This window comes from Homo sapiens, chromosome 2 (genome assembly GCF_000001405.40).
Source record: "Homo sapiens chromosome 2, GRCh38.p14 Primary Assembly".
In the NCBI taxonomy this organism is placed as follows: domain Eukaryota; kingdom Metazoa; phylum Chordata; class Mammalia; order Primates; family Hominidae; genus Homo; species Homo sapiens.
The window spans coordinates 167,921,097-167,932,398 of NC_000002.12; the positions used below are offsets into that span (position 1 = coordinate 167,921,097).

Consider the following 11,302-nt stretch of genomic DNA (forward strand, 5'->3'; position numbering starts at 1 on the left):
ACAAAGGACCAAATGGTTTTGTGGGGATTTCTGACAAATCTTCAAAGAGCAAATAATTCTGTAGCACAGGAAAAAGAGAAAAATTTTAATGTTTTCTTTATGAAGCAATAATTAATACCAAAATTCAACAAAAATTTCAAATAAAAAGTTGTACAGGCAAATCTCTCTTATGATTATCAATGCAAAATACTCTAAATAAAATATTAGCAGACTGAAGCACCCCATTAAAAGAAAACTACATACTGGCCAATTAAGATTTTTCCAGTAATGTAAGAATTTTCAGTATTAGGAAAGCTATTTATATTAATTCAGTACACAAATAGATCTAAGCAGGAGAAAAATGATATAAACACCTTCAGATTTTCTGAAAATGCATGTGAATCAGTTTCAAAGTCCATTTGTGATTTTAAAGAATCTCAATCAACTAAAAATAGCTGAATCTCTACTTGCTGAAATACTTCTTCTATCAGTAGACCAGTGAAGAAATACTAAAATCATCATTAAATTTAGAAACAAAACAAATGTTTTCATTATCATCATTATTATCTAACTTTTTTTGTAGGTATTAGACAATAAAATTAGAGATTCAAAATAAACTATATGTATAAAAACTATGTAGTAAAAGATAAAACTAAATGCAGATTATATAAATTATGCCTAGAAAACACAAGCTAATCAACAGAAAATTAGCTACAAAAATAAGAGGATTGAGTGAAGTATCAGACATAAAACTAATATACAGAAATTAACAATCTTTGGATAACAAATAAGAGCTAGGCATAAAATACAATGGAAGTAAAGATGCCATTTATAATTTTGACTTAAATTCAAAATAATTAGTAGTAAAATTAAAAATAAATGTATAAAATCTCTATGACTAGAACTTGAACATTAAGTAAAACAAGTAAAATTTTGAAATAATAATAAAGTATAACTTGTTCTTTGATAGAAATTGAACATCATAAAGATACCAATTTTCCTCTAATTAATAAATTTAATGTGATTACAATATAATTTGAGGGAGAGAAAATAAAGAATAAATGAATTTTATGAAGTTCAACTGGAAAAATGAACAAGCAAAAATATCCAAGAAAAGTCTGGGAGAAAAAAAACCAACAACACAAAGAATAGTGAGGAGCAACTAGCTCTATGAGACACATAAAGACAAAAATTATAATAATGGAAACATTATGTGATGTATGGACAGTTGAATCAAAGTGATAGAAATTCAGAAACAGAAGGCCAGGCGCGGTGGCTCATGCCTGTAATCCCAGCACTTTGGGAGGCCAAGGTGGGTGGATCACGAGATCGAGACCATCCTGGCTAACACGGTAAAACCCCGTCTCTACTAAAAAATACAAAAAAATTAGCTGGGCGTGGTGGCAGGTGCCTGTAGTCCCAGCTACTCGGGAGGCTGAGGCAAGAGAATGGTGTGAACCCGGGAGGCAGAGCTTGCAGTGAGTAGAGATTGCGCCACTGCACTCCAGCCTGGGTGACAGAGCGAGACTCCGTCTCAAAAAAAAAAAAAAGAAAAGAAAAAAGAAATTCAGAAACAGAAACTAATACATAAAGAAATTTCATATAAGAGTGGCATCTAAAATCCATGGGGAAGGAAGTTTTTAGTAAATGTCATTTAAACAACTGGTAAGCCAACTAAAAAAAAATTAGGCCTAGATTCATACCTCTTACCTTACACTAGGATACATTCAAAATCCGTCAAAGATTTAAATATAAAAATAGAAAGAAGAAGCAGCAGCTATGACCAGGCACAGTGGCTCTAACCTGTAATCTCAGCAATTTGGAAGGCTGAAGCAGGAGCATCACTTGAGCCCAGGAAGTCAAGATCAGCCTGGGCAACATAGCAAGAATCTATCTGTACAAAAAAATAGAAAAATTTAGCTAGGTGTGGTGGCAAGCCTATAGTCCCAGCTACGGGGGAGGTCAAGGCCACAGGATCAGCAGGAGGTCCAGGTGCTGTGATCATGCCACTGCCCTCTAGCCTGGGCGACACAGCAAGACCCTGTTTCAAAAACAGAAAAAGACAAAAACAAAAAAAACCTTGGAAGAGTAGGCAAAAGAGCTAATTTTCCTAACAAATAAAAAGCTCACAAATCAATTTTTTAAAAGACACAATAGGCTGTAAAGAGACTTTGCAGGAAAAAAAATTTAAGTAACTCACACGAAAAGATATTCAGAGCTGAGTGCGGTGGCTCACACCTGTAATCCCAGAGAAGGCGGCTAAGGCAGGACTGCAAGAGGCTGAGGCCAGGAGTTCCTGACCAGCCCAGGTCACATAGTGAGACCATCTATAAGTTAATTAATTAATTAATTAAGCAGTTCAACCTCACTCATAATAAGACATGAACTCTGGAGCCAGTCTTTCTAGCCGTGGTCCTAATCCTGCTTCCACGTCTTTTTTTTTTTTTTTTTTTTTTTTTGAGACGGGGTCTCGCTCTCGCCCAGGCTGGAGTGCAGTGGCACCATCTCGGCTCACTGCAAGCTCCGCCTCCCGGGTTCACGCCATTCTCCTGCCTCAGCCTCGCGAGTAGCTGGGACTACAGGCGCCCGCCACCATGCCCGGCTGATTTTTTATATTTTTAGTAGAGACGGGGTTTCACTGCGTTAGCCAGATGGTCTCGATCTCCTGACCTCGTGATCCGCCCGCCTCGGCCGCCCAAAGTGCTGGGATTACAGGCGTGAGCCACCGCGCCCGGCCCCATGTCTTTTTACTAGTTTTTTGACCATGCATAAGTTACTTAACTTTGGTGTGCTTCAGTTTTCATATCAATAAACTGAGGACAGTAAGTAGTAGAAGCTGTCTCTTCGGGTAGTTCTGAAGATTAAATGAGTTGATATTTGTTGGTATTTGTAAAATGCTTCTGACAGTTCTAGCATATGCTAAGAATAGAATACTAAGAATACTAAGCCATATAATGTTATAGAAATGAAATAAATAAGTGCAAATTAAAATTGTACTGATTTGTCATTGTTTTACCTATCAGATATGCAAAAGTGAAACCATTTCATCGTGTGTTGTGTTGGTGAAGGTCCAAGGAAACGAGCATTCTTCTACATTGCTAGACTGCATGGAAGGCAATTTAGCCATAGGCATCAAACTCAAAATTACAGGTATACATACCTGGTGGATTGTCAGTTTCACTTCTAGGAATTTATTCTACATATAGGCCCTCATAGGGCTGAAATAAGGCAAGCGCAATGGTATTTATTACAGCAATGTAAGAGCAAGTGATTAGAAACAACCTAAATATTTACCAATAGGGAATGGGTTAAATTGTTATACATCCACATACAATGCAGCCCTTAAAAATTATTTTAAAATGAAGAACATTCCTTAAAAAATTGACATGACTGAAAACCAAAGTATTTTAAATGAAAAGAACAAGAATCAGAACAATATGTATAGTCTGCTACTATTTGTGTAAAAAGGAGGAAAATAATATCTTTGCGTGTTTTCTTAAATATCGTAGAATATTTCTAGAAAAATACAAAAGAAAGTGATGACACCACTTACTGCTGGGGGAGGCAACTTTGTGCCTGGGGCACATGAGTAGGAAGGAGACAATTCACTGTGTAACAGGAGCAGATGCTGTGGTGAGCCATCACCTGCTTCAGATCAGAGGCACTCATTTCCCCACCTGCCACAAGTGTCAGGTTCTCAGCTGAGTCCCTCCCTGGGAATTGCCCTCAGCTGGCCAGGGCAGCCTGCCCTAATGAAGATGATGGGGAGAAGGAGCTATAAAGGCTGGCCCCCTTGCCTCGGGACAGGACAAATCTGAAGTACTATCTCGGCTGTAGGACTCCTCACAGGTCACAGGTTGTGCTATCAACTGAAGCCTTTGTTTTTCATTGCATCACAGTTCAGCTTTTCCTTCTGCCCAGCTCAATTTCCTTCACACCCCCTCTGATGGAGATACCCAGGGCTCTCCCCAGTAAACTTCCTACATGCAAACCTCCATTCTGTTTCCCTCCAGAACCAAACCTAAGACAATGCTCTTTTGAACCTTTTGAATTTTGAATCTTTTTTTTGAACATTTATATAAATGAATAAATAAATTTACATTAAAATTCTTTTAAGTCTTTTCCCTTTATGTTACTGACATTAATGCTTTTCCTTTTCAATGTGACAATACAGTTTCCTTTCAAAATTTGTCTTCTAATTTTATGAATGGGTTATCACGTTTGGGTTATCACGTTTGGATTTTCTTATTTTGGGGCAGCATAACTTTCAATCAGCAAAATTTGTTAGCACTGAATATGTTCAAGAGCTGTGCTGGGTATCCTAGAGTGTACAAGGAGGTAGAAAATGGACCACTGGCCTCAGGGTGGTAAAATACAGATAAAATACTGACTTGTCAAGATTATTGTTAAAATAAGGTGACTTTAAAGTACCTAATATAGGGCCCAGATTGTAACAACTGCTCCTGTTTAAAAATATAGTTGGGGAAGAAATACATATCACCTGAAAATACAGGCAGGAAATGCTAAGCACTAAATTGATAGCATCGACAATCATTACTACAGAATTCAGAGGAAGGAGATCATTTCTAGGGGAATGTGGCCATAACATATTGATTGAAGAAATAAGAACTAAAGCTAGATCCTGAAAGGTAAGTCATCTGTGGAAAGGAGTTGGAGTATCATTCCAGATAGGGAGAGCAATGGGGTGGATGCAGAAGTGAGCTGAAAATGTTTGGATATAAGCAAGGGCCCGCCTGGAGTGGAGGACATAGAGCTGGAAAGATAAATTGTGGTCAGATTAGAGAGGGCATTAAATGCCAGGCTAATGAGTTTGGGTTTTGCTCATAGGAAGCTTCTTTAGATTTATGGAAAGGATAATAGCATGATGGAAATAGTGTTTCAGATTGATGACGTTTTGGCAGCCAGCCACATAGCCTGGGGTCAGCATGAGAGGCAAGAAGGTCAGAGACTGGCTTAGGCTGTAGGCCAAGCATTAGCTAATAAGGGGACCTACTAGTGTGCTAGCAGTGAAAAGAGAATAAATAGGGGAGACTGATATGAGAAACAGAAAAGAAAGAACTGAAAAACACATAATTTTGATTAGATAGTGCTGACATGATGATGATGGGGGAGTCTTCAGAGATGAAGTACACATTTGAAGGCCTGGGTGGCTGGACAAGTCATACCACCACTGAACAAAAGCAAAGATGGAGGGCAGAGGAGAACAACATCTTAGCACTTTGGGGGAAATGTGAGTCAACTGTATTAATTCATACTAAATTTGAAGTGCAGGTGAGATAATCTAGTGGAAAAGTTCATTGTGCACTTGTAAATTCTAGCCTAGCACCACAAGGGACAACAGGGTTGGGGCTATAGAACCGAGATTCATTAGCAGATGACACCACTGGAGGTATGAGGTGAGCCAAGAGACTTCGTGTTGAGAGTGGCAATGTTTCAATGACGAACACTTGGATCATGATCATATTTATTTGAAGGAAATAGAGCTAGTGAAGAAGACAGAAACAGAAAGGTCAGAGACAGTGGATAAGAACTATTAAGAGTATGGTAGTATGAGAGCCAAATGAGTGGAGAGGGTCAGAAAGAAGGTAGGGACAGAAGATCCACATACCAGATACTGCAGAAAGGTCAAGGAGAATGAGAAATTGACAATGTCAACGGATTCAGCTCTTAGGAGATCAGTGCATTTTCTGCATATGGGTTCAGAATACCAGGAAGGCTGATTGCAGAATGGGATAGAGAAGCAGTACAAGATAGTGGCGTAAGCAGCGGGCCCTGAGATCAGACTGTGTCTTGGCCCATCTTCTGTTGCTTATAACAGAATACCTGAAACTGGGTAATCTATAGAGAAAAGAAATGTATTTCTTACAGTTACGGAGGCTATGGTGTTCAAGGTCAAGGGGGCACATCTGATGAGAGCCTTCTTGCTGATGGGGACCCTCTGCAGAGTCCCAGGGCAGCACAGAGCATCACATGGCAACGGGGCCAAGCATGCTAGTTCAGGTATCTCTTCTCCACCTTTGGTGTTTTTTTTTTTTTAAAGAAATGGGGGTCTTGCTATGTTGCCCAGGCCGGCCTCAATATCCTGGGCTCAAGGGATCCTCCCACCTCACCATCCCAAGTAGCTGGACTACAGGCAGATATCACCATACCTGGTTCTCCTCCTATGCTTATAAACGCACCCCAGTAGTTCCCCGCTTATGATAACCCATTAATCCGTGAATGGATTAGTCCATCCATGAAGACACAGTCCTTAAGACCCAATCACCTCCTTAAAAGCCCCACCTCTCAATACTGCCACATTGGGGATTAAATTTCAACATAAGTTTTGGAGGGGACAAATATTTAAACCACAGTAGACTGCCTGGGTTTCAATCCTATCTTTGCTACAAGTGTGCTTTGTGATTTGTGCAAGCTGCTTAACTCTTTTATGCCTTCATTTCTTCATTTTTAAAATGGGGATGGCAATGGTAATAATAGTACCGACCTTATAGAGATTTTGTGAGGCTAAAGGACAATGCATGCAAATTGCTTAACAGTGTAGGCACAGAGTAGGTGCTCCATATTATCAGTTCTTGTGGTTAGTATTACTTTTATTATAAGTGAATGCTTCATGGCTTTTGGCCAAGGATCTTGATAGGAAAAAGCAGAGGTAAACTAGTGGGATAGTTTGGCCTATCATCCCAGGTGGAGGTTTGTACATAGCTGGAGGCAATTGGGAAGGAGCCAAGGCAGGAGTAGAAGCTAAAGCCGCCAAGGGGGAGAAGAAATGTAAAGGAGCAAAGTCCCTGAGGGGAGGAAGAGGAGAACAGCAGTTTCAGAACTCAGGTGACTAGGGCCAGGCACTGCGGCTCACGCCTGTAATCCCAGCACTTTGGGAGGCTGAGGCAGGTGGACCGCTTGAGTCCAGGAGTTTGAGACCAACCTGGCAACGTGTCGAGACCCCATCTCTAACAAAAAATACAAAAATTAGCTGGGCGTGGTAGCATGTGCCTGTAGTCCCAGCTGCTCAGGATGCTGAGCTTGAGCCCAGGAGGCAAAGCTTGTAGTGAGCCAAGATTATGCCACTGCACTCCAGCCTAGACAACAGAGCCAGACTCTGTCTAGAAAAAAAAAGAAAACAGGTCTCAGGTGACTAATCAGTCTGGGAAAGAAGGGTCAGACACCATCTGAGACGAAAAAACAAAAAACAAACAAACAAAAAAAAACGGGAGAAGAGGATTTAGATGAAGTTGGAAATTTGAAGAGATCAGAGAGAGGACAAGTCCCAGTAAAAGAAGCAATGAGGCTATTGGCCCAAGCAAGAAGAATTGAGTGGGATGGGGTGTCTCTGCAAGCATTTGCAAAGATTCACAACAAATTCTATTTTCTTCAAGTTTAAACTGCCTTTTGAGACTTTTACTCCATCATGACTCCAAGTAGAAAGTAAAGAACAAAGGAGAGTTAAAAAACACAATCAGGAAATATTGTAGAATTAATCTAGCGCCACCCAGTAGGATTGATAGGGAGCCGCAGTGTAAATCAGCCCTCAACCCGATAACTCCACTCGCTTCCTGACGGGAGGCAAACTGAAGAGAACATGCCACAGCAGAGGCCAAGACTCCATCAAAGACCTAAGGGAACCACACAAATACCTCTCGTGAATGGTGAGCCTATGGCCTGGAAAATCTGATTTCTCAAGATCCTTTTAGATCTATGATATTAGAAAGTTTCTCTTTTCACCTAGAATACCATTCAATGCTCAGTGGTCTTCTGGGTTTAACTTCTTTAGGAAACCACAAATCATCGAAAGCAACTTTCCCTCTCAATTAAAAAAAAATCATTTTAACCAAAGTTCGCATCAGATTTGAACGAGCCAACTGAATCTGGTGGCTTGGTTCCTTGCTTCCCAAATGGTTTTTGGCCAATGGGCGGGGAGCGTACGATCATTCTCAGAAACAGTTCTAGTAGAGCCAAAGTGTCGTCCATATGTGACTTTGCCTGCCTTCTGAGTTCTCTACCCAAGATTTCTCTTGGTGCAACAGCTTCAAATATTAACCCAGAGAGGGTATAGGAATGAATCTGTTTTGCAGGGCTACAAGCCTGTTTGATCCTAAGAGAATACGGGGACTTCTGATGCTTTAAACAAGCAGAGGGAAAAATCTGATGCAGATAAAGTGCTGTGTGCCATAGCTCATTATTCTGAGCAGCATTCAGGCTGCCAGTCCATTATACTTGATTCTGTTTTTGCCATCAACAGCACTCTGGAGATGGCTTATTTGTAAAAGGAGCAGGATCTAGGATATGCATTAATTTGCAAAAGATGCCACCACACACATTCTGCAGCTAATACTGTGTTCATGAACTTTACCTGTGACTAAATACATTTCATATCTTACAGCTGAGCTTCAGTAATTGGTTTTTGCAGCCTCGAACACATCCAACAAGGAAAATATGAGAAGCCCAGATCTCTCCCTGCTTTTTTGAAATGGCTTATTGCTGCAGATGGGAAAAGCTATCTCAGCTCTGAGTTGGCAGTTCCCGAAGGTCAGATCTTAGAGAGCTGACACCTGGGAACTCAAAGGCAAGGAGCAGGTGGTTTTGGAAGAGTGAGTGACCCTGAGGGTAGACAGCTGGGGAGGAGAGAAACAAATGACAATAGAAGGGAAGTAGTGGTCAGTGAGAGGGATGACTGGAGTCCCTGCAGACATTAGCCTCACATGAGCAGTTCACAGCAGCTCAGTGTAGTTTGTTTTCCCAGGTCTAATGCAGTCATAGCGGAGCTTAATAAGCCACCAAATCATATAGCACAACCCATTCCAGACCCAACTACCATTGCAGGTTGGAGAATCATGATCATATCATGTGAGATTTGGCTGTGAAAGGAAAATGTGGTCTCATCCAGTAGATTAATTTATTCAGAGGAAAAGAAGGCTAAATGTGCAGCATGTACTTTGGCTTTGAAAGCACTGAATTATACACTTCAACAGTATGGTTCATTGGGTCCCACAATGCTAGGAGAATTAGACTAGTTGGTGTACCTCTGATATCTACATGCAAACTTGAGACCAAAATAAGCACCAGGATTCTAAAAATGCATTAGAGGGATGGGCAGATTAATCATACTTTTCCCTTTGGGGCCGTTCTAGACACAATACTGATGTAAGGAAATCTGTCTGTAATTCTCCCATCCCTTTCCTTTACCTTTCCCTCCTTTACTTGTCCAGACACTTAATGTCTGTGGCTTTTTCCCTTCCACCCGGGACTCCCCATTGTGGGCACATTGAAGTCCCCATCTTTTGCAAATCCTCTTTTCCCTGAAACTCACTTTTTAAATCATTCTATCTTATACTAATAGATAAGTGCTGATGACAAATTAATTATTTTTTGACAACTCCTTGATTATAGTACAATGTCACATACAGAAACAGGGCCAGGAAGGGGGACAGAAGGGTTATTCCCAGGACATCTTTCATCTTGAATCGTGTCATAAAGTGTGTTAGCACCATTATCCACCTCTCATTCGCTTTTCATTCTTCTGTTTTTCCTTTGTCAACCATTGAACCTACTCTGTCACGCCCCCGTGCTCGGTGCAAAGGCCCAAAGATGGAAGAGGCCGAGTCCCTCTTTTAAGCTCACAATCTGGTGGAAGAATGAGTACATAAACAATCAATTGTAATGTAGTTTAGCAGATACTAAAATAAACTGTGGTCCAAGTGCTGTGAGAGCCCCAGGAAGGGGATTTTGCCTATTGGAAGAGAAAAAGGTGTCACAGAGTTGGTAAGGTTTAAGTAAGCATTTTTTAAATGCATAGAAAATTGTCTGGTGGCAAATGGCGTTAACATAGATCCAGCAAATGTAACTCCCAATCTTTCTGGAAGAAAAATATATGGATGGCCTTTGAGCAACTGTGCCAAAGTCTTTCCTATCTATCAAGAAAGCCTGGGGATTCTAGGTCTTTAGCTACCAGGCAGATCCCCAGTGGGGAGAGAGCGCAAGACTTTGCTGGCTTCCTCGAAGTGCACAGGTATGACAGCAAATGCTTCCAAGTGTCTGCCCTGGTGACAGATTCTTCTCTACGTGATGTGTAGTCAGAAGCCCAGTAGCAACCTGGAACCAGGCACTCTTTCCCCTGCTGTTCTGCAGGTTATGAAAAAAAAGCTTCCGATTTGATTCCAAACCAATAGTCCAGAAATCCAGACTCATCACTTAAGACTTGTATTTAATTTCATTCTGTCTCCAGCACAGGAGGTCCTGATGGATTTGGGCATGTGGTGTAAATGCATAAAAAGAGAATCAGATTGATTTTGATCCAGTTCTGTTTGTTTGGGTGTCAGGTACTCTGAATAGGTATATGAAATCTATCCCTCCCTTTGCTCACACTCTTGGAAACCACTCTTCTCCAGAACTTTTGTCACTATATTTGAGATGGTAGAATGCTATGGTTAAGACTTCATGCCTTTGGAGACAGGTGACCTGGTTCAAATGCCAACTTTTCCAGTTATTCGACATATGACCTTGGCAAGTGATTTAATGTCTCTGTGCCTAAGTTCCTTTATCTATAATAAGGGGATATCAGCACTTGTCTTAAATGGTTTTTATGAGATAGTACCAGTTGTAGATAGATTACATGGTGCAATGTACATAAAAAGACTTAAAGATGTACCCAGAACATTACACATTATCTAGACATGTTAGCTATTATTACCCTTCCTATTGCCAGGCACATATTGTCCCCTTCTTACACTTCATTCCAACACTCAGGAAGGAAGGGCTATGGTAAGTGCCAAGGACCATCAAGGATATCCCTGGATATATATAGGGGCCACCCAGGGCAATGACCCCCTTGTTCCCTTCTTGGGACTGGAAGGCAGACCTTTTGGTGGGATTATAATGCAGACAGCCTGTAGGGGCAACTCTCTTTTCTCTGCTGCCTACCGAGTGGTGTAGTGTGGCCAATTGTGTCCTCTGTTCCACATGCCCTCAGCATTATGAGGTAATTGGGTCCTGGGAAAAGGAAGATGAAGCCTTCCTTTATGCTCATTGGAAAAGGCTTAAAGGGATCCTTGATGTTCCTGCATGGCCCAGGCCAACAGGCGGGAATCTGAAAATAAGCCACAAAAAGGAATGGTCTGTGTGCAGAGTTAGGGTACGCTCTGGGTTATGGCTCTCAGTAGCTATTGCTGTGTAGGTAATAGAAATTGGAACATTAATGTTTTTAATTCACTCACTTCTCCCACCCAGCACCTAACCTAGACTCTCATTAATTCTCACAGAATCTAACAGTGGCCTTACAGCTGCCCAGCTCTCCCATTGCTGGCCTCTT

The 11,302-nt window shown here is 41.1% G+C and overlaps 1 long non-coding RNA gene across 1 annotated transcript in view; it reads right to left on the reverse strand.

The window, feature by feature from the left end:
- Window positions 1-11,302, reverse strand: part of B3GALT1-AS1 (B3GALT1 antisense RNA 1) — a 126,371-nt gene that overhangs the window by 106,323 nt on the left and 8,746 nt on the right. The window lies entirely within an intron of this gene.